Source organism: Homo sapiens, chromosome 5 (assembly GCF_000001405.40).
Source record: "Homo sapiens chromosome 5, GRCh38.p14 Primary Assembly".
Lineage (NCBI taxonomy): Eukaryota > Metazoa > Chordata > Mammalia > Primates > Hominidae > Homo > Homo sapiens.
Genome location: NC_000005.10, coordinates 149696917 through 149721375, shown reverse-complemented (window position 1 = coordinate 149721375; position 24459 = coordinate 149696917). Strand labels below are relative to the sequence as shown.

The 24459-nt window shown below is 42.3% G+C and overlaps 1 long non-coding RNA gene across 1 annotated transcript, besides 2 other annotated features; it reads right to left on the bottom strand.

The window, feature by feature from the left end:
- Positions 1–24: 24 nt before the first annotated feature.
- Positions 25–18259, bottom strand: LOC105378224 (uncharacterized). Its single transcript, XR_944405.3, has 3 exons — positions 18044–18259; positions 17315–17431; positions 25–417 (listed from the first exon to the last, which is right to left on the bottom strand). It is a non-coding gene; the product is annotated as an uncharacterized LOC105378224 (long non-coding RNA).
- Positions 4829–5079: a silencer, noted in NCBI's record as "fragment chr5:149095860-149096110 (GRCh37/hg19 assembly coordinates)". NCBI's record gives its function as "represses an EF-1alpha promoter that drives an FKBP-Casp9 reporter gene in an ReSE screen in K562 erythroleukemia cells {active_cell/tissue: K562}" and the evidence as "EXISTENCE:reporter gene assay evidence [ECO:0000049][PMID:32094911]".
- Positions 7994–8629: an enhancer, noted in NCBI's record as "OCT4-NANOG hESC enhancer chr5:149092310-149092945 (GRCh37/hg19 assembly coordinates)". NCBI's record gives its function as "activates a minimal SCP1, AML or CMV promoter by ChIP-STARR-seq in naive H9 embryonic stem cells {active_cell/tissue: H9 hESC(naive)}" and the evidence as "EXISTENCE:reporter gene assay evidence [ECO:0000049][PMID:30033119]".
- Positions 18260–24459: the final 6200 nt, after the last annotated feature.

The window sequence follows — 24459 nt, the reverse complement described above, 5'->3', positions numbered from 1 at the left end:
ATCAGTTGTCCCAAGTCTGCTGCAGATGGGCATCTCCCCAGGGCCTCTGCTCTGACTATGAAATGCTCTGATTCCCTCTCCCATTTGTGAGAGAAGTCACCTGGGCCATGTGTAGTTTGACAGCAGAGGTGGTTGGGCTCAAGATGTTGAGAGGAGAATCCAGGTCAGCAGGCCACCCCAGGAGCATTTTACATGGGGTGGAATCTCCCTGGCTTCTAGAGCAGCCAGGAAGACTGCAGAATCCCAGGGAGAGGGCATAGTGTCACAGGCATGGCAAGGTACAGAGAGCATGACATGGCATCATGGGCACAGCATCATGGATACAGCAGAGCATCATGGGCACAGATCATAGGTACAGCAGAATATTACAGTCACAGCCCTGGTTTCCTCAGCTTCCCCAAGAATTCGGACAGACACCTGAGGGGGAGAGAAACATAAAAGGAATATTCTCCCTTCTGTCAGAGTTGTTTTATTATTTCATTTTAAAATTAGAAATTATTTTAAAGTACACAAGTAACACAACTATTTTATCCTCGTATAAAAATTGGAAACAACAGAGAAAGGACAAGGCTCTGTGACCATTCCCTTGCTAGAGGTACCCACTATGAGTGTTTCATGAGTGGACTTCTAGACTTTTTCTTGGATTTACACTCATTTATGTTCATAGAGGAACTCAAGTTTTTGTTTGGGAGATTTTGTTTTTATGAGAACAGCTTTTTTTTTTTTTTTTGAGACGGAGTTTCACTCTTGTTGCCCAGGCTGGAGTGCAGTGGCACAATCTGGGCTCACTGCAACCTCCGCCTCCTGGGTTCAAGCGATTCTCCTGCCTCAGCCTCCCTAGTAGCTGGGATTACAGGCGCCCACCACCATGCCCAGCTAACTTTTTATATTTTCAGTAGAGACGGGGTTTCACTATGTTGGCCAGGTTGGTCTCGAACTCCTGACCTCAGACAATCCACCCCCCTTGGCCTCCCAAAGTGCTGAGATTACAGGCATGAGCCACCGCGCCCGGCCGAGAATGGCATCTTAATGTGATTACTATTTTGTAATTTCCTTCTTAGAGTGTCTTGGAGGTCTTCCCATATCAGTACATATAGATCTACCTTCTTCCTTTACATTGCTGCATGGTTTTCCCCATGTGAGTGTGACACAAACTTGATTTGTAACTATTAGTCCATCGTGATTCTAGACTTGCATTCCCCATTTGGTTGTGTGGTCCTGATTGGATCACTAAAGAATATGCAAAGCTGGGGATAGTTTGTTAATAAAATGATGACAATGGATGAGTTCTTTCATTCATTTAAACAATAAAAGCCTATGGAATGCTTACTTTGAGTCTTCATCTTTTAATACACAATTGAGCCAGATCTACCTACATGAGTTCAGTGAATAACATTAATCATGTTGCTACATTGTTTGAAATTCATTCATCATTCCTTCATGGGCAACCTACTTTGTGGCAGGCACTCTGCCAAGCTTCCTGGGACTGTACTAGTTGTGACTCCTTTGTTTGCAATGAGCAGAAAACCCTACCCAAACCGGCTTTAACAGATAATATATGGGCTTACATAATTAACACACTGAAGGGAGGGATGTTATCAGGAAGATGTGGATGTTCATTTCTCAGCTCTGCTTTCCTCTCTGTTGGCTTGATTCTGAGTCAGGTTCTTTCCTGGTGACAGCGAGGTGACATGTTCCAGGCTAAACCCAAACCTCTTAGCAAGACCCGCAGAAGAAACTCTCCCAGTTGTCCAGCAAAAGCCCTGGATTAATTCTTTTTCTTCCTTTTTTTTTTTTTTGAGATGGAGTCTTGCTCTGTCACCAGGCTGGAGTGCCGTGGCACGATCTCGGCTCACTGCAACCTCTGCCTCCTGGGTTCAAGCGATTCTCCTACCTCAGCCTCCAAAGTAGCTGGGACTACAGGCGCGCACCACCACACCCAGCTAATTTATGTATTTTTAGTAGACACAGGGTTTTACCATGTTGGCCAGGATGGTCTCGATCTCTTGACCTCATGATTCGCCCGCCTCAGCCTTCCAAATTGCTGGGATTACAAGCATGAGCCACCGTGCCTAGCCCAATTCTGATTTCATCCATTTGATTCAAAACTCTTATCCAATCCCTGCGCTGATTGACCAGTATTGAGTTACATGGCTACCTCTGAATCCAGGAGTCAAGCAGTTTGATATAAACCCCCCAAACCAGGGCTTCTTAGTAAGGAACCATTAATTTGGGTGAGAAAAAAAAAATACATCTCTCTTTTCACTAATCTGCAACTGAAATTTAGCATTTTCTTTTCTGTTATAAATATAGCCAACAAGTCATGGTAGTATTAAAATTACCGGCCTGGGCAACATAGTAAGACTTCGTCTCTACAGAAAAAATAAATTAGCCAGGCACAGTAGTCCCAGCTACTCAGGAGGCTGTGGTGGGAGGATGGCTTGAGCCCAGGAGGTCGAGGCTTCAGTGAGCCACAATCACGCCTGCACTCTAGCCTGGGCAATAGAACAATAATTTGTCTAAAAAAAATTACCTATAACTTTGTCACCAATAGAGATCACAGATATTTCATATCACATCACAATTGTCACAGGTATCTTAAAATATCACTTATGTTCAACACTAGTTTGAAATTATACTGGTTATTAGGCCAAGTAGGGCTTGGTTTTTATTGTGCTAATCAAGAAGTACAAATATTTCTATATCAAAAGTTTGTTTTCCTAATAATTTCATAACTGTTTCAATACAATTGGCTTCCTTTAGACCATATGTAGTATATGTCATACCATTTAAAAAATCAATCTGAGGCCGGGCATGGTGGCTTATGCCTGTGATCCCAGCACTTTGGGAGGCTGAGGCAGGCAGATCACCTGAGGTCAGGAATTTGAGACCAGCCTGGGCAACATGGTGAAACCCTGTCTCTACTGAAAATACAAAACTTAGCTGGGCATGGTGGCACATGCCTGTAGTCCCAGCTACTTGGGAGGCTGAGTCAGGAGAATCACTTGAACCCGGGAGATGGAGACTGCAGTGAGCCAAGATCGCGCCACTGCACTCCAGCCTGGACAACAGAGCGAGACCGTCTCAAAAAAAATTAAAATAAAATAAAATAAAAATAAGAAATCAATCTGAGGAGGGGTCCATGGGCTTCTATGGGCTGCCAGAGGGGTCCATGGCACAAAAAAAAACTTTGAATAGAAGGTGAGGAATGAGTGTCTCCCCAAAGGGAAAGCAGGTGCCTTACCAAAGGGAAAGGAGAGTGCTGAGCGGCAGAAACAACAGATGTCCAATCAAAAGGGACACAGAGATGAGTCTGACATGAGCCTGTCCCCCAGGCTAGTTTGACTAGGAGACTCCTGGAGATGCCATGGTCAGCCTCTTCATTTTACAGACAGACAACAACTAAGACTCAAGAGGGGCAGGGACTCATCAGAGGTCACTTAGTGAGCAGCAGTGTCAGGACCAGGCCAAGGCTCCCTGACTCTAGGCCTGATTATTTTACTCCAGCCTCTTCAGGGTGAGTGGGGAGGGTACAATGAGACCCTATAGTCCAAAAGTTAAACATTGGTATACATGACAGAGGGAAATTTAGAATGTTAAATGCCTATATTAAAAATGAAGAAATATGAAGAAAGATCTAGAATCAATAATCTAACCCTCTACCCAGACACTGGAAAAAGCAAGCAGAAAAGAAGAAATAATACAAATTTTAACAGAAACCAACAAAATAGAGACTAGAAAAACAATAGAGAAAAATCAACAAAACCAATAATTGGTCCTTTGAAAAGATCAGCAAAATAAATTAAGAGAACTTCAGTTAGATTGACCAAGAAAAAAAGAGAGATGACTCATATTACTAAAATAAGAAATAATGCCGGGCATGGTGGCTCATACCTGTAATCCCAACACTTTGGGAGGCCGATGCAGGCCAATCACCTGAGGTCCTACTAAAAATGCAAAAATTAGCCGGGTGTGGTGGCAGGCGCCTGTAGTCCCAGCTACTCAGGAGGTTGAGGCAGGAGAATGGCGTGAACTCGGGAGGCGGAGTTTGCAATGAGCAAAGATCGCGCCACTGCACTCCAGCCTGGGTGACAGAGCAAGACTCCGTCTCCAAAAAATAAATAAAATTAAAAAATAAAAGAGGAGTCACTTACAGAAATAGAAAGGATTGTGAGAGAAACTATGAACAACTGAATGGCAATAAATTAGAAAACGCAGATAAAATGAACAAACTCCTAGAAAGGTGCAAACTATTAAAACTGATTCAAGAAGAAATAGAAGTAAAGAGATCGAATTAGAAATAAAAAATTATCCACAAAGAAAAGACCAGACCCAGATATCTCCACTGGTGAATTCTATCAAACATTTGAAAAAGGACTAATACGATTCTCACAACATCTTCCAAAAAAATAGAAGAGGAGGGAACACTTCCCACCTCAGTCTGTGAGGCCAGCACTACTTCGATACTAAAACCAAAGTCATCACAAGAAAACTACAGATCAATATCTCTTATGAATATAGATGCAAAAGCAGTGCACATGAGGACTTAACTACCGAATTAAATATCACAATGGGAAGATGTGCCTAAAGATGTCTCTGGTTTCTGAAAGATTCCTATCATCAAAAACAATAAAAGATCATGGAGATACGTCAGATTAAATTTAAGCATAGAAATATAGTGGGTCCATTTTGGAAAAATTTGCAAAGATAACTCATAAGGATTTTTTGTTCTGTAAAGCAGGATTAATAATACATCTTTGGCCAGGCACGGTGGCTCATGCCTATAATCCCAGCACTTTGGGAGGCCGAGGCGGGTGGATCACGAGGTCAGGAGTTCGAGACCAGCCTGACCAATATGGTGAAACCTTGTCTCTACTAAAAATACAAAAATTAGCTGCGCGTGGTGGCATGTGCCTGTAATCCCAGCTACTCAGGAGGCTGAGGCAGGAGAATCGCTTGAACCTGGGAGATGGAGGTTGCAGCGCGAGATCTTGCCACTGCACTCCAGCCTGGGTGACAGAGTGAGACTCATTCTCAAAAAATAATAATAACAATAATAATAATAATACATCTTTGGGTCAGGCACTGTGGCTCATGCATGTAATTCCAGCACTTCAGGAGGCTGAGGAAAGAGGATAGCTTGAGCCTAGGAGTTCAAGACTAGCCTGGGCAACATAGCAAGACCTCGTCTCTAATTAGAATTTTAAAATTAAAATTAGGCTGGGTGCAGTGGCTCACACCTGTAATCCCAACACTCTGGGAGGTCGAGGCAGGTGGATCACCTGAGGTCAGGAGTTCAAGACCAGTCTGTCCAACATGGTGAAACCCCATCTCTACTAAGAATACAAAAATTAGCCAGGCGTGGCCGGGTGTGGTGGCTCACGCCTGTAATCCTAGCACTTTGGAAGGCTGAGACGGGTGGATCGCCTGAGGTCAGGAGTTTGAGACCAGCCCGGCCAATATAGTGAAACCCCATCTCCACTAAAAATACAAAAAATTAGCTGAGTGTGGTGGCGGGCGCCTGTAATCCCAGCTACTAGGGAGGCTAAGGCAGGAGAATTGCTTGAACTCAGTAGGCGGAGGTTGCAGTGAGCCGAGATCGCACCACTGCACTCCAGCTTGGTGACAGAGTGAGGCTCCATCTAAAAAAAAAAAAATTAGCCGGGTGTGGTGGTGCACACCTGTGGTGCCAGCTACTCAGGAGGCTGAGGCACAAGAATTGCTTGAAGCTGGGAGGTGGAGGTTGCAGTGAGCAGAGATCGTGCCACTGCACTCCAGCCTGGGCGACAGAGCAAGACTCTGTCTAAAAAAAAAAAAAAATTAAAATTAAAAGAAAAAAAAAACCTCTGCCCTGCCCTGCCTTTTTGGAGTTATTTTGAGAATCATTTCAGTTAAAGGATGGGAGAGTATTTTAAAACCCTCTAGGAGGAAAATAACTGCTGGGGCTCTTCGCAGTTTATAGAACACGACCTGCTCCTGAGCTCCATTCCGTTCCCTCTGGCCAGTTATCTCTTGCCCCATGGCCTTTGCACTGCTGTTCCCTTAACCTGGCATGTTCTTCCCTCAGCTCCCTTTGTGGCCTGCTCTCATTCCTCATCCCTTATCTCAAATTCCACCTCCTCAGAGAGGCCCTTCCTGACTTCCTGATATAAATCAAATTTCTGAAATTATCTTGCTTGTTTACTAGCAGAGCAGGAACCACGTTTTGTTACCCCCTGGATCCTCCAGAGTCCAAGACAGTTTCTGCCACATGGAAGGATGCTATTAAGTGAAAAGGGATCCATATTTCTGTGAAATAGGTAGCCAGGCCCACTGTACAGATGAGGAAACTGAGGCTCAGGGAGGAGAAATGTCTTGCCCAAGCTCCTGCGGCAGGAAGGGTGATCATATAATTTATTGCCCAAATTGGAAAACTTTTGCCCTGGACAAATACTAAACTGGACAGGACACGTGACAACAGGCATAAACTGAGACAGTAAACAAAGACGCACAGGGTTACACTTCAGAAGGAGGTCTAAACTCGGGCAAGTCTAAGTCATGTTCGTTTCATGACATCCCAAGTTCTGTGAAAAGTCAAGGTCAGCCAGTGAGTTTTCCCGCATGCCCCGATCCACAGGGAACACCATCCTGCATAGCTCAGGAGCAGGTGAATGTCACAGCTCTTTGCTGACTTTGTTGTTGCCTGGAAGTCCTGAGGATGTTCTCCACAGCAGGAACCAAGATTTCCTCTGTCAAAATAGGTGAAACAATAGAATGAACAAAAATAAACCTGGTCTCCTTTGTGAAGAAAAAGGAGGTGGGGAAAAAAAAGTTTTTAGTCACATACTTAAAGCTCATGAGATTACTTTGTTATGCAAAAGTTGATTTATCTCAGCATAGAGCTCAACATTGTCTGCCCTTTGACCAAGTCTCCCTGTCCTTGGGAATTTACCCTAAAAATGAGTGAAAGGAAGAGAAAAAGCTAGCCAGACAAAAACATTCATTGAGGGGGTATGGGGGCGGGAGCTGAGTTTGGAGCCTGGAGGAAGACAGGCCTGTGTTTGAAGCCCTGCTCTATCACTGTAAAGATGATGGCCAACAGTCCAGCCCATCCTCATGCACACTATGCCTCCAAGCATCAAGGGTAGGGTCTGTTTCCCTCTCCTTGACTTTGGGCTGGCCTTGTGACTTGTTTTGACCAAGAGAATGTAACAGAAATGACACGGTGCCATTTCTGGGGCTAGTTCTTAAGACACCTGGGAGCTTCTGTTTTTGCCCTCTAGGAAGCCAGCCATCATGGAAAGAAGCCCAGCTAATCTGCTGGACAGACCACGTGGAGAGAAAGAAAGAAAGAGCCCCTAGAAGATTAGAGACCACAAAGGGAGAGAAACCCAACCAGCCCCCTGCCATTTCGGCCTCCTCAGCTGAGACACCAGGCACCTGAATGAACTCATCTTGGATCTTCCAGTTCCACTGAAGCCACTCTCGTCAGTACCATGTGGAACAGAGATGAACCAGCCCCACCAAGCCCTGCCCAAATTGCAGAATTAAGAACAAATAAATGGATGTTGTTGCTTTAAGCCACTACATCTTGAGGTAATTCGTTGTAGTAGTAGATAACATGAACACTAGACATTAGCTGTATGAATTTTGGCAACTTATTAAAATAACCTGAGCCTCAGTTTCCTTATCTGTAAAATGGAATTGTTTAGTACTTACAGGATTGTCATGATGCTCAAAGGCTAAATAGTAAACATTTAGTGATTTTGTGGAATATATAAGGTGACATGATAATATAATATTTCCTGCAAGAGTTGAGTTCCATGTTACTGGCTAGATTCTACTGAGTAGAATTCTATGGAACCATAAGAAATCATAAGCATAAGGTTTACATATGAACGTAATTCATTACATAATCTGAAATAAAATTAAATAATGAAAAAAATTTTTTTAAAAAGAATGACACAAAGAGAATCATTCTGATTCCAACAATATAAAAAAAATCTCTGGATAAATGTTGGAATGAAATGTGGAAAATTAAAACTGTTAGCACATTTGAGTGGTGGACTTAAAATAAAAATGTACTCTTGGGCTTTCCTTAATGTTGGTGTCAGATTTTTAATAATAAATCATTTTAGTGCAATTCCCAAATGGGGATAAAGTTTTGAAAAAACATGGAGAGATAAAAACAGTGTCTTTGAATTTAGGTTTGAGTAAAAATGTTCTCTATTCAAATTTCCTTTAATTTGATCTTCATAAAAAATAATTTTAGTGCAATTATTAAATAGAAAAGCTGGTCATTGTGTAATTTATCGAGTGCTATTATAGGCCCAGCAGGGAGCTAAGTGTTTGCATTCCTTTACCTATTCAAAATCCAGAGCTCAAGGGGAGGGCTTCCTACACATTTCTTCTTTGATGCCTTCCAGCAGCTTTAAGGTGTCAGTGCTGTTATTAGCCCCATTTCACAGACCAGGAAGCTGAGACTCAGAAAAATTAAGCTGAGGCTGGATGTGGTGGCTCATGCCTGTAATCCTAACACTTTGGGAGGCTGAAGCGGACAGATCACTTGAACCCAGGAGTTCGAGACCACCATCCTGGGCAACATAGCAAAACCCCATCTCTACAAAAACAAATACAAAAATTAGCCGGGTGTGGTGGCATGTGCCTGTGGTACCAGCTATTTGAGGGCTGAGGTGGGAGGATTGCTTGAGCCTGGAAGGTGGAGGTTGCAGTGAGCTGAGATTGCACCGCTGCACTCCAGCCTGGGCAACATAGTGAGACCCCGTGAAAAAAAAAGAAAGAAAGAAGGAGGAAAGAAAGAAAGAGAGAAAGAAAAGAAAGAAAAAGAAAAGGAAAGAACGAAAAAAAGAAAGAAAAGAAAAGAAAAGAAAAGAAAAAGTTAAGCTACTTGCCAAATCATTCAGCTTGAGACTAGCAGAGCTGAGATTTGAACCCAGGTCTCTCTAGTCTCTCTTCCCACCATTCCTCACTTTTTTGCCTCCAGCAGCACATCTGCTCCAAATGCCTATGGACTAAATAAACAGGAGTGATCATACAAGTTAGCACTGAGAGGTAGCACTCTCACAAAGCAACAGCATGGAGTCAGGAGGCCTGGACTTGGATTGTGACTCTCTATGTGGCTATTCCCACTGGACCCCCATATCCTCATAGGCTCAATGGGGGATTTGGATAGATATTTGGAAAATAACACAAACCATAATCCCTTGGACCTTAATTTTAATTAGTAATTTTAGAGTTAGTACTTCAGTCCTCAAATTGTACTAAAAATATGCCAATGGTACAGATATTATTCAAAGTAGCATTTGAACTTAAAGTCCCAAGATTTTGCTTCAAAGACTGGTTCTACTTTTGAGTGCCTTTGGGCCAGTTTTTTTAGCTCTCTGACTCTCAGTTTCAGACGGTAGCAATCTAATCTCTCTCATTGATCATGTAGACCCAGTGAGATAATCCATGTGAAGGAGCTGAGCACTGAATAAATACCTATGTCTTAAATAAAAGACATTATAATGAATCATCCCTGTAAAATTATATAACATACAATTAGCATAAATCTGTTTTTATGTTTTCTAATCACTTAGCAATTCTTTGATAGGTAGGGTTTTTTTTATATATATAATAAGTAGTTAGGTAGTTTTTTTAAAATATGTTTCCACAAGGAAAGGAAATGAACTTTTGTTCTCACTTTGTAAGATCCTTGAGACAGGGACAATGTCTGTCTGGTTTATACCCATCCTCCCCAGGCCAGCACAGCATCTGGTCCACGTTAGGTGCTCATTGAGTATGTGACGAATGAATGATAACAAGTCCGTACCTCTGTGATGCCACAGTTCAGAGCCAGGGTGGACGTTCCTGTGAACATTCCTCACACCCTACCGCCTGCCAGCACCGTTGACTGGGTAGAGTACTCTTCCTCAGTTTTTCCCTGTGTCCTGGGCTTACCTCTATGAATCCACTAACAGTTTTAAAGAGAAATGTTTCTCTTTTAAGTATGTTTCCCCCCATGAGACTCTAAACAAATCAAGATCAGGGATGGATCTTAATCGTCTTGGGCTCATCAGACCTCGCAGTAAATGACATAGAGTAAGTCATCTGTAAATATTTGTTAAACTGAATTGAATCAATAGAGAGAGTTTGGAGATTTCTAAGAGCAGAAAGAATTGCCTTAAAGTTACACCTATTTTGTTGGAATAGCAAATAAGCACATGGAAAATGCTCTATATCATTAGTCATTAAGGGAATATATGAGAAAATCACAATATGAAAGCACTACGCATTCCCTATGGTGACTAAAATGTTAAAACTGACAATACCAAGTGCTTATGATGTTGTGGAACAACTGGAACTCTCATACCATATTGCCAGGAATGCAAAATGGTATAACCACTTTGGAAAATAGTTCGGCAGTTTTTTCCTAATAAAATTAAACATATATCTTTTATAGTACCCGGAAATCCCACCCTAGGTATTTATATAAGATAAACGAAAAAAATATGTCCACTCAAGGATGTATATGTGAATTTTCACAGTAGCTCAGTTAACAATAGCCAAAACTGGAAACAACACAAATGTCCTTCAACTGGTGAATGAATCAGCAAATTGTGATATGCCCATTTATTGGAATACTACTCAGCAATAAAAGGGAACAAACTACCGACACAACAGCGTAGATGAATCTCAAATACATTATACTAAGTAAACTATTCCCGATTCAAGACCACATAGTAATGATTCCATTCAAATGAAGTTTTAGAAAACACAAAATTAAAAGGACAGAAAGTAGAGACCAGGAGTGGACAGAACAGACGAACTGCAAGGGAATATAAACAAACTTTGTGGCACAATGGAAATGTTAGACAGGGTCTTGCTCTGTTGTCCAGGCTGGAGTGCAGTGACACAATCATAGCTCACTACAGCCTCCAACTCCTGGGTCCAAGCAATCTTCAGCCTCCTGGGTCCAAGCAATCCTCAGCCTCCTGAGTAGCTGAGATTACAGGTGCAAACTATCATGCTCAGCTCTATGATGGAAATATTCTAAAATGGCTTTGCAGTGGTAGTTACAGGACTGTATATGTTTGTCAAACTCATTGAACTTTATATTTAAATGGGTATATGTAAATTATACTTCAATAAAGCTTTCAAAAGCTTTATTTCAAAAGCTTTATTTATATATTTCAAAAAATATATATATCTATTTACTCTTTCATCTGAATGGCTTTTTGAGGTAGTGAATATTCTGTCCTTGGAAAATTCCAAAGACAAGCCAAACGGGTATCTGTCAAGCATGTTGTAGGGGGCATTCCTGAGTTGGGCGCAAGCCCAGAATAGATGGTCTTTAGAGGTTATGGAATTTAGGGTTATGGAATTTAGGCTTAAAGTCAGTATTATGCACAGTAGAAAGAACAATGGTCCAGGAGTCAAGAGTCATTCATTAAGTCATTCATTCATTTACTGGTTCATTGTTTACTAAACACCTATCATGTGCCTGACATGGCTCAATGATGCTGAGTTAAGCTGGTTTGAGGTGGGTTTCTATGCAATCACATCTGAAATATCCTAACCAATAGAAGCCCAGAACTAGGTATTAAACTGGGGGATACTGACTATAAGCACCAAAGGTGGAGGTCAATGAGAGGCTTGAGGAGTCAGGGAGACCACCCACTTACCTCCACTGCCACAGCCCTGGTCCAGGCTGTCACCTCCTCTCACCTGGACAATTACAGCAGCCTCCTCACTGCTCTCCCTGAGTCTACTCTAACTGCCTTGGGTCCATTCTGTACACAACAAACAAAGGGTTTCTGTGGCCACCTGAAATCCAGATATGACCCCATTGTGCTCCTGCCTAAAAATTCTTCCATGGTGTCTCCTTGCCCCAGATTTAAGTCCAGATTCCTCAACATAAGCTCAAAGAACCTTTAGTGACATAGCTCTGGATTGAAAGAAGATCAGCTAGGGAAGTGCTGTGGCGTCCCTGCAGGCCAGAGTAGGGAGAAGGAGCAGGAAAGGATGAAATGGAGAGATGTTTAGGAAGCAAAACCACCTCATTCTGGCCCTGGCTGTACAACCCAAGCCTGTTTCCCAGATCACCCAGCCACAAGTTAGGTGATGTCAAAGGTCTCTTTCAGTTCCAGGTTATACAGTTATGCTTTTTGGTATGTTACCTGGGCTGCCCCTCTATCTCTTGTCTCTCTGTATGTCCCTATCACTCAACAAACACCTGTAAGAAAATTGCTATCTACAGATATGAGTCACAGATTATAACTGGCTTAATCTGCAGGAGGCTTCACAGCCCATCCTGCTAACATGATTCTCTTCCCAGAGGATCCCAAGGGTCATGTTACTGACCTGAAGTACAAAAGAAAACCTAGTGAGTGTCCTTTGAAATGGAGAAGAGGGAATATACTTATAACCATTGATAGTCTCCTGGACAATGATCGTTCTCTGGACTCTAGCAAAAGGGAGGTAGTGGAAGAAGGAATGGCCCAGTCTTTCAGATCTTTCAGATGCTGGGGGTCCAAGGCACTGAAAACACTACTTGTTTCCTTCTAATCCAGTAGAAACGTCACTGAACTGGCCATAAATTGATGGGCCACTCAGTCTTGGCTTGATCTTGACAATGACACTTGACCCTAGCTCAATTTCTTTACCAACCAGTCAAATGCAATAAGGACAGCTCAAGCTCATCCAACAGTTCACGTTATTTTCAAGTTCACAAGCAGTACATATTGATTAAAGAAAAGTTTAAAGCATGAATTCACAAAAAGGAAAAAATATTTCTTCAACTCACCATCCAGACATGAGCAGATGTTTTTCTATTTTAACCAAAATGGGATGCAATTACCCATCCCCTTCTGTACCCAATTATTTTCCTTAACAATATATTGTGAGCATCTTTCCACGTCATTAAACTCTTCTACATTATCATACTCAGATGTGACTGGATGCCCATGGTATTCTCCAATTGAAGCCAGTCTTCTATATTTCATTTCACCTCCTAAAAACACACATGCAATTCCAAAAACACTGCCAGACACTGTATATTTTACTGAAGACTTTGTGGGACATGGAGGAGACAGTCATACAGCCCAGCATCCAACAAACACCCTCAAACATCCCACTTGACAGCTCTTGATAGTTTAACTTTCTTGCTCTCTCCTTAGTCTCTCAACCCTAGCTCTTCTAGTCCACTTTTCTACCCCATGCACCAAAACAACAGCCAGGTGGATGCCTCTTGGCAGTTAATTTTTCTTTGTTCATTCGTTTCTTTGATAAATACTGAGCACCTACCATATGACGAGCATTGTTTTGGGTGCTGAGGGGTTCCCCATTCAACAAAAGGAGAAAACCTTGGCTTTCATGGACCTAATTCTTCATTGCTTGTGATTCCACTGAAGGAAGTTTCATAATTTATTTAATAGTCCCCTATTTTGGGATGTCTATCTATGCTTTTTCCATTTCCCTACATCTCCATGATAAACAATACTGAGGTGAACATCTTTGGCTTGCAATTTTCAATTTTCAAATATCTTTTCCCTTAACAGATCTTTCTTTTTATTGTTTTTGAGACTGAGTCTCGCTCTGTTGCCCAGGCTGGAGTGCAGTGGTGCAATCTCAACTCACTGCAACCTCTGCCTCCCGGGTTCAAGCGATTCTCCTGCCTCAGACTCCCAAGTAGCTGGGACTACAGGTGTGGGACACCAGGTCCAGCTAATTTTTGTATTTTTAGTAGAGATGGGGTTTCACCATGTTGGCCAGGCTAGTCTAGACCTCCTGACCTCTGGTGATCCACCCACCTCGGCCTCCCAAAGTGCTGGGATTACAGGCATGAGCCACCGTGCCCAGCCAGATCTTGCTTTTCTCATTATGATCTTGAGAGATTTTACTGAAAAAAAAAAGGCAAGGAAGGGCTAAGAAAAAACAAGTAATTTCCCCAAGATTACATATTTGGTTATTTGGTAGCAGATAAAAAGCACCTTTTCAGGAGGAAAACATGAATCCATACCACCTGGAGTCAGATGACCTTTGAGCCCCTTTCTCATGAACAGTAGCAGCTGGCGTTGACAGAGCATTCACTGTGTGCCACCAACCCCCACCTGTACCATCCCATTTAATCCTCTTATACTGTCATCCCCATTCCACAGATGAGCACATGGACAGCAAGTGACAGAAGGGCTTGGAGCCAGGTGGGTCTGATACCAAAGCCCATGCTCTGAAGTACTCCTCTACCCTGCCTCACTACTCTGTGAGTGTCTGATTCCACCAGCAGCACATTTGTCTTACAGTCTTAAAAACTGCATAGGAATTTGTTAATGCTTCTAACAAATACCTTTTCTATGCAGGCCAGTTGTTATTACTTTAAGCGGTTTTTACCATAAGTCTCAACAATAAATGTCACTCCCTCTCTGTGACATTTTTACATTTTATAATCTCATGTGCTATTACATTTGATTCTCACATAAATGCTCATAATTCAAGGCTCGACCAAAAACCTATTTCTCCAAGAAAACCTCTCCAAATGCCCCCCTGAAGGTTCCTATTCCTCAGCCTTTGAGGCCGCCATACTGCAGTTTTTCCAGGCTGTACTGTTATTCTCTGTCCCTGGGAGTAGCAACTAGACCTTACTCATTCCCAGTGCGAGGAACTATGCCTGGCTCACAACAGGTATTTTATAAAAGTCTGTGAGTGAAGCAGCACCATTAGGCACTTTGTAGATTCTTGGAAGGAAAATGAGAATTAGAAATCAGGGGCCTTCACCCCAGCACCACCACCACACCTACTTCGAGCTCAGCTATTTCAGGTAGTTTGAGTCCTGTCTGGTGCTTTATTGCTAAAAATGGATGGATGAGTGGATAGATGGGAGGAAGGGAGGGAGAGTGGAAAGAAATGAAAGAAGGCAGTGAGAGAAGAGAGGAGGTAAGGGAAGGTGAACAGATAGACGGAAGTAAAGAAGGACAGATGGATGAAAGGATGGAGAATAGGATGAATAACTGAATTAAAAAAAGGAAGGAAGAAAAGAAGCAAGGAAGAAGGGAAGAAAGGAAAGAAGGAAGGAAGAAGGAAAGGACAAATGAATGGATACAAAGGAAGAAAAGTATAAATAAATGATTGGATGGAAAAAGGATAGTAAAAGTATGGGAAGGAGGGAAGAAGAGAGAAGAAAGAAGGAGGAAACAAGGAGAAAAGGAGAGAAGGAAGAAAACATCAGCTTGGTTGAATAGCAGATTCAGGGCTGGTTTATCTAGAACCACACTTCAAGAATCACATGTCCCTAAGAGGATCAGGTAAGAAAGCCCTTCTTCACCAAGATTTTACATTCCAAGCCTTAACCAATATTTCATATGTTAGATTCATCCAGAGCTCAGAGGAGTACAGAGTTTGTTCTTATAAGAAGAATTACATTTGTCTAGATAGTCAAACTCGATAGTTAGGACTCCAAAACTAAACCTCTAAGGAACAAGCAAATTAATCTGTAAAGATGTATTGGCTGGGCACAGTGGCTCACGCTTGTAATCCCAGCATTTGGGGAGGCCCAGACAGGTGGATCACTTTGAGCCCAGGAATTTGAGACCAGCCTGGGCAACATAGTGATACCCCCTAATCTCTATAAAAATAAATAAATAAACAAGAAAGGAGCATTTATTTTCTAATGCATTGAAGAGACAAAATTATGAGGCACAGAAGATTAACAAGGAAACAGAAGTTTTGAACACCACTATAAACCTGCTAGACCTCAAAAACATCTACAGACCACTCCAATCAACAAAAGTATAGTATACATTCTCATCTAATGTACATGAAACTTTCTCTAGGATAGACCATATACTAGGTCATAAAACAAATTTGAATAAATTTGAAAGGATTGAAATCATATATAGTATGTTCTCTAATAACAATGGAGTGAAATTAGAAATCAATGACAGAAATAAATTTGGGAAATTCACAAATATGTGGAAATTAAACAACACACTCCTAAAGAATCATTGAATTAAAAAAAATTCCAAGGCAAATTAGGAAAATCTTTTCAATGAATAAAAATGAAGACAAAATATATCAAAACACTTGGGATACAGCCAAATCAGTGCTTAGAGGGAAATTTACACCTACATTACAAAAAAGAAGAAAGATCTCTAATCAATAATCTTAAGACTGGAAAAAAAGCAGAGTAAACTAAACCTAGAACAAGCAGAAGAAATGAAATAATAAAGTTTAGAGCCAAAATTAATGAAATAGATGATAGAAAAATATCAAGAAAATCAAGGAAATTAAAAGTTGGTTATTCAACAAGATTAACAAAATTGACAAACCTTAATCTAGATGGATCAAGAAAAAAAGAGAGAAGATTCAAATTGTTAAAATCAGGAATGAAAAAGGGGGGATTATTACAGACCTTATATAAATAAAATGGATTATAAAGGATTACTATAAACAACTGTATGCCAACAAGTTAGATAATTTACATGAAATGGACAAATTCCTGGAAAGCCATAAAGTAGTAAAACTGTTTCAGGAAGAAATAGAACATCTGAATGACTTGAAACAAGTAAAAAGACGGAATTAGTAATCAAAAAACTACCCACAGAGAAAAGACCAGGACCAGAATTCACTAGTACATTCTACCAAATTTTTGAAGAATTCCTCACAAACTTCCAAAAAATAGAAGAGGAGGAAACACTTCCCACCTTATCCTGTGAAGCCAGTATTACTATGATACAAAAATCAGACCAAAACATCACACAAAAAGCACAGATCAATTTCATTTATGAATGTAGACAGAAAAATCTCAACAAAATACTAGTAAGCAGAACACAGCAATTTATCAGAAGAATTAGACACCATGACCAACTGGTAAATGTCCCAGAAATGCAAGATTAACATCTGAAATGTCAATTAATGTAATACACTTTGTCAATACAATAAAGGACAAAAACCACATGATCATTTCAATAGACGCGGAAAAAGCATTTGACAAAATTCAACACTTCTTCATAATAATAATAATAAAACTCAACAAAATAGGAATAGAAGGGAATATCCTTAACCTAGTAGAGGGCATCTATAAAAAGCCCACAACTAAATCATACTCAATGGTGAAAGACCAAGTGCTTCCCCCAAGACCAGGAACAAGATGATACCTATTCCCCCCTTTTCTATTCAACATTGTACTTGAGTTTCCTGCCGGGGCAATTAGGCAAGAAAATAAAATAAAAGGCACCCAGAATGGAAAGGAAGAGATAAAGCTATCTCTACTTAATTCACGTTTCGGACCAGTATCTCTTTGTCATGGTGGACATGAATTAATTCATTACAGCACACTTACTAATTGCCTTAAGAGATGCGACGTTTTGCACTGCGGACATAGAGATGAACCAACCAGTTGTGGGGCCTGCCCTTAAGCAGCTTCTAGACAGCTTGGGGAGATGAGGCCAACCAACATCTGTAAAATAAGGTGGAAAGTGACCAGAGTTACGTGCGGGCCCAGACGAGGAGAGTCTATTGGAGCTCAGAGGAAAGTTGAGGGGGTCACTTCTAGATAGGGCTGGATCAAGGGAGGCTTCTAGAGTTGGAGCATCAGAGCTGGGCCTTAAATGTTGGAGAGGATTTCATTAAGTTAACAGCATAACAAGAGCAAGGTTGCTCTTCCTAAAGGCCCACAGCATATTCAAGCACCAGGAACCCCAGAGTAGCTGCAGTGGGTAGTGAGTGAGGGAGAGCTGGGAGATGGTCTGTACAGGTGAACTGAAGCCTAGAATACCACACTAAGCGCTGAGGCTTCCGGCTGGAGTGAGGAAGCCTTGCATGGTGTTTGAGCACAGAGGAGACCTGGGCAGACACCACTGGGATAGGCATAGTCCTATGCTTCCTTCAAAAACTTGCTAGATGATAACATCTTCCGGAAAGCTTAATAAAATGGAGATCCCAGGCTCGGGTACAGGAAATGTCGATTGAGTCATTCTGGGAAGTGGTGTTGGGTGGCTGGGTGATGATAGCAGAGGGATAAGTCTGGTTTTGATCTGTGTTTCTCATATCAGGGCTGACCAAGCCTCACCTCATTCGGTCTAAGTCCTCTGTCCACTATGCGTGAAAACTTACGTCCTTCCGCTGTGTCGGGGGAGGGGTGGGAGATAAACAGAGCACCGGGATATTTCTGTGGTGTGATGCATAGGTGGGTCAATGGGGAAATGGCTCCTACCCTTGGTGACCCTAACCCCAGTGAACCCAGCCCAACACTCATGGGACGGTGGTCATTCCCTCTCTCCCTCCAGCCTTGTGGGTGCTGGAGAGAGGCAGCCTGGCCAACTGGGATGAACTTTGGCTTAGTGTTATCACTTTTCCTGAGAAACCCAAAGTGGCCAAGCAATTCAAAGGTCTTTTATGACCAGGAGAACAAAAGTCAGCCCCAGCCATTAGTTATTGATTACTCTTTGCCACACCTTGAGCAAGATCTTTGACCAGGTTTCACAGAGAGTGAAACTGAGGTCTCAGGGTTATTCCAACAGGCGGCTGTGATGCCAAGATGTCTTATCAAACTCTTAGGCAGGCGTGTTCCGAGAGAGAAGCCGTCTGAATTCACATCCACTAACGTTGTGTGTGCTGGAGTCAGGGAGAGAGACTCAATGCCCTGTACTCAGAAGACAGAGTTACACTTAACGCCAGGAGTCTTCTTCTCCTGCAGGAGTGTTGATGGCAATCTATATCAAGAACTTTAGAAAGGCCTGGGACCAGTAGCCGTGGCTCTCACGCATAATCCCAGCACTTTGGGAGGGCAAGGTGAGGGGACCGCTAGAGACCACCCCGGAGAGCTTAGTGAGACCATCTCTCTACAAAAAAAACCATAAAAATAAAAAAGGCCAGGCATGCTGGCTCATGCCTATAATCCCAGCACTTCGAGGGGCTGAGGTAGGCAGATCGCTTGAGGTCAGGAGTTCGAGACCAGCCTCACCAACATGGTGAAACCCCGTCTCTACTAAAAATGCAAAATCAGCTGGGTGTGGTGGCAGGCGCCTGTAGTCCCAGCTACTCAGGAGGCTGAGGCAGGAGAATCACTTGAACCCGGGAGGCAGAGGTTGTAATGAGCCGAGATCGCACCATTGCACTCCAGCCTGGGTGACAGAGGAAGATTGTCTTAAAAAAAAAGAAAGAAAAAGAAAGAAAGAAAAAAGGCCTATACCCTTTGGTTCAGCAACTCCATGTCCAGGAATCTCTTGAAAGAAATTAATCCTCTCTATGGATGAGGCTCTAGACACAGAGGTGTTCAACATTGGATTATTCACCCTAGCTGAAAAGCAAAATTCAACTTCGTCCATGCTAGCAATAGATGAATTGCTAATATTTGTTGAATGTGGCTGTTGGCAAAGCATTTTACCTGCACTATTTCATTAAATCCTTACAGGAGCTCGGTAGGATAGATACTGGTATTGTCCTCATTTTGCAGATAAGAAAACTGGGGCACAGAGAGGTTAACACACCCCAAATTACAGAGCTAGTAGCACATCAGAGCCAGCACTTAATAGCAACATAAAAAAAAAAAGCTTCTAGTTGGGCATGGTGGCTCATGCCTGTAATCCCAGCACTTTGGGAGGCTGAAGTGGGCAGAGCACTTGAGCTCAGGAGTTCAAGACCAGCCTGAGCAACATGGCAAAATCCTGTCTCTACAAAAAAGTACAAAAATTCGCTGGGTGTGGTGGCATGCACCTGTGGTCCCAGCTACTCAGGAGGCTGAGGTGGGAGGATCACCTGAGCCTGGGAGGCAGAGGTTGCAGTGAGCCGAAATCTTGCAATTCAGCCTGGGCAATGGAAGTGAAACCCTGTCTCAAAAAAAAAAAAAAAAAAAAAAAAAAAGCTTCTGTTGATATGGTTTTTATTTAAAAAAAAAAAAGATCATTGATGTATGGACTAATCACAATATTAAGCAATGATAACAAAAATGACTCTGATATTTATTTTTAAAGACTTCAAAGAAATACTCCAAAATACTAGAGATCCTCTCAAGGTACTGGGTGTATGTGTTTTGTGACATTTTTGGTAGCAGAGAGGGAGGGGTTGTTTCTACTTTTTGCTACTTTTCACAGTGATATATTTTCATAATTCAGGGGAGAAAATGAACTTATGGGGTTTTTAAAAACACAAATTAAAAATAAGATGGTTCTTAAATGGATATATTTCAGGTAATAGGGTAGCTACTGGAGACAGTAAGAACCTTGCTGGAGCTGCCCCCAGCAGACCTTGGAAATGTTTCTGACTGGCCCACTTTAATCTGACTTAGCATCACCTCAGACGTGCGGGGACAGCAGAGAAGAGAAGCCAGGATGGGGAAAGGCTCAGAAAACGAGTCCCAGGAGAAAAGCTCCAAACTCTTAGTCCCACATCATGTGAGTGGCCCCAGGGGGGTTTTCCAATGGCATGTCTGGGCCCAAGGCAGATGGGAGAGCCTGTGTCTGCCTCTGTCCTCTGCAGAGCGGAGATGGGCAGATGAACATCAATGTCCCTCCAGTGACGGCCACACCAGTGGGGACAGGGAGGGTAGTCCAGGGGCTGGCCCACTTCTCAATCTCCATCAGGTTCCCCCAGCACCTGCTGCCCCCTTCTTCAAAGTAATGTTTGTTCAATCTAACATAAAAGCATGAAGAAAAAATTCTTTTAAAACTTTGTCTACCATACGCTATCAAAGTTGGCTTATAGGGCAAACATAGCTTCAAAACAGCCCCCATGCCCCTCCTTGAAAAATATCCAGAAGCACCCTGCCCCCCATCCCGTCCTAGTTCTCCACAGGGAGTCCTGAGGGTTGGTGGCTTGGCAGTCTGTGCAGGCCACGTGAAGACAGCTGGACTGGCAGGGCCCAGGGTCTGGGCCAAGGAGGCTGCAGAGATCAGGGCCAGAGGCAAAGGGTCCAGGGCTCCATGGAGGTCAAGGTCAGGCCAATGCGGCTTCACCAGCTGCCTAAAACCCATGGCTTTATGTTTAAAGACTCAGCTAATTACAGACATTTTCCAACATGAAATAATAGATAGCACTGTAGAAAATTTAGGGGAAAGGAAACCAACAGAGAAGTTTTTTTTAAAAAAAGACCATTTTTCTGATACCTTTATTTCATTTTAAAATACATTTTATTATAAATATATTTTCCTTTTGAAAGAAAACTGGAAGGAGGAGTGTTCTGTTTTTACTTTAAACATTTCTGTCTTACTTGAGTGTGTTAAGTAATATCTGCCTTTTATGCACTGTTAAATAATATCTGTTGTTATAAAAATTTGGTAAATACAAAAATAGGGCGGAAACCAAACAAATTTTTTGTTTTGGAAATTTTGTTTTTGTGACATAAAGAAAGTGCTCAGAGGAAAAAAATATCTGTCTTTGAAAGTACATGCATACAGCTGGGCGCAGTGGCTCACGCCTGTAATACCAGCACTTTGGGAGGCTGAGGCGGGCAGATTGCTTGAGCTCAGGAGTTTGAGACCAGCCTGGGCAACATGGTGAAACCCCATCTTTACTAAAAATACAAAAATTAGCCTGGTGCGGTGGCATGCGCCTGTAATCCCATCTACTCTGGAGGCTGAGGCAGGAGATTTGCTTGAACCTGGGAGGCGGAGGTTGCAGTGAGCCAAGATTGTGCCACTGCACTCCAGCCTGGGCAACAGAGGCGACTCCATCAGAAAAAAAAAAAAAAAAAAGTATATACATACTACCAAATACAAAAGATACAGAGATGGAGAGATGGGTAGATGGGTATATACAGTGAAATGTCTGTTTCCTTCTCTTTCTCTCCTGTCTAATCACCAGTTGCCCTCCCTGGGGAAAACCATTCTTGCTGTTTTTCAGCCATTTTGGTAGAGGGTATCTTTACATTTGCAAATGCATACGCATACACATTTTTTGGGATGGAGAGACAGGATCCTGTTCTATCACCCAGGCTGGAGTGCAGTGGCATGATCCTGACTTACTGCAGCCTAGACCTCCTGAGTTCAAATGATCCTCCTGCCTCTTCCCTGCAAGCAGCTAGGACTATAGGAATGCACCACCACACACTGCTAATTCTGTATTTTTATTTTTTGTAGAGGCAGGATCTTGCTATGTAGCCCAGGCTGGTTTAGAACTCCTATCCTCAAGCAATCCTCTTTCCTTGGCCTCCCAAAGTGTTAAGATTTCAGGCGTGAGCGACCAAGCCTGGCCGGCATGCACTCTTTAGTAATTACGACTGTATGTGCAGGAGCGTGTGTGTGTATGTGTTTGAGTGTATAATTACACTAATTGTCACACTCTGTCCTAAATCTTGCTCTTTATACAATATATCTTAGGGATCTTCCCATAGGATATGTAAAGAGTTCTGTTGGTTGCTGACCTCAATCCTATTAACCTAAAAGGTCCTTCTTGGTGTCTAACCAGAAACCCATACAACCCCCAGCCTGACACTAGCAAGGCCTGCACCTCCAAAGTAATGAGAGAGATGAGGGAGTTGTGGGGGGTGGGTTCAAGGACTCCCTTTTTTTCTTCCTTCCGCTCTCTCCTTCCCTCTCCTTCCTTCCCTCCCTCCCTTCCTTCCTCCCTCCTTTCCTTCCTTCCTTCCGTCTTTTCTTCCTCCCTTCCGTCTTGCTTCTTGCCTTCTAAAGTGAAAACAGTTCACTATGGCTTTTATTCACTCTGATTACTAATGCAAAACATGCTTCTCATAAAGTATTCATATAGTATAAAAAGAAAAATAGGAGAGTGAAAGTCACTCCTACTGTTATCCAGAAATAATCACTGTTAACATTTTATTGTTCATCCTTCCAATTATTTTTCTGGAATACCCACAACAATTTTTCACCATTTTAACCATTTCAACCATTTCGAAGTGTACAGTTCAGTGGCATTTAGTGCATTCTCAATGCTGAACAATCATCACCACTATATAATTTCAGAATAATTTCATCACCCCAGATGGAAATCCCACATCCACTGAAGAGTCACTCTCCATTCCCCTCTCCCGACAGCCCCTGGCAACCACGAATCTGCTTTCTAGCTCCATGGATCTGCCTATGCTGGGTATTTCACATCAGTGGAACCATACAATATGTGATCTTTTGTGTCTCACTTCTTTCACTTAGCATAATTTTTTTTTTTAATGGGGACAGAGTCTCGCTCTGTTGCCCAGGCTGGAGCGCAGTGGCGTGATCTAGACTCACTGCAACCTCCGCCTCCCGGATTCAAATGATTTCTCCTGCCTCAGCCTTCTAAGTAGCTGGGACTACAGGCATGCACCACCAAGCCTGGATAATTTTCATATTTTTAGTAGAGATGGGGTTTCACCACATCAGCAAGGCTGGTCTCCAAATCCTGACCTCAAGCGATCCTCCCACCTTGGCCTCCAAAAGTGCTGGGATTGCAGATGTGAGCCAACACACTCAGCCAAGCATAATGTTTTCAAGGTTTTTAAAAAAATTTTTTTTCTTTTTCTTTTTTTTTTTTTTTTTAGAGACAGGGTCTCTCTCTGTCTCTGTCACTCAGGCTGGAGTGCAGTGAAATAATCATAGCTCACTGCAGCCTCAACCTCTTTGGCTTAAGTGATCCTCCCACCTCAGCCTCCAAAATAGCTGGGACTACAGGTGCAAGCCCAACTAATTAAAAAGAAATTGTAAAGACAGAATCTCACTATGTTGCCCAGGTTGGTCTTGAACTCTTGGCCTCAAGTGATTCACCCCCCACCCTCAGCCTCCCAAAGTGTTGGGATTATAGGTGTGAGCCACCAGGTCCAGTCTGTTTTCAAGGTTCATCCATGCTGTAGCATGCATCACTACTTCGTTCCTTTTTATAGCCAAATAACATTCCATCGCATGGATATGCCATATTTTGTTTATCTATTCATTAGTTGAGGGACATTTGGGCTATTTCCACCTTTTGTCTGTTGTGAATAGTGCTGCTATGAACATGTAAGTTTTTATTTGAATACCTGTTTTCAGTTCTTTTGACTATATACTTAAGAGTGGGACTGCTACATCAAATGGTCATTCTGTCTTTAACTTATTGAAGAAACACCAAACCGATTCCCATAGTGGCTACATTTCCACCAGCAATGTATGAGGGTTCCAATTTCTCTACATCCATACCAAAACTTGTCATATTCCTTCTGTTTGTTTTGTTTTGTTTTATTATAACCAACCTAGTGGGTATGAAATGCTATCTCATACCTACATTTTTGTGGTTTTGAATTGCATTTCCCTAATGACTAATGATGTTAAACATCTTTTCACGTGCTTGTTGACCATTTGTATATCTTCCTTGGAGAGATATCTATTCAAGGCCTTTGCCCATCTTTTTTACACTCGGGGGTACATGTACAGGTTTTCTACGTAGGTATATTGTGTGATGCTGAAGTTTGGGCTTCTATTGATCCCATCAACCAAATAGTGAACACAGTACCCAATAGGTAGTTTTTCAGCCCTTGCCCTCCCACCCCTCCTCCCCGCTTTTGGAGCCCCCAGTGTCTAT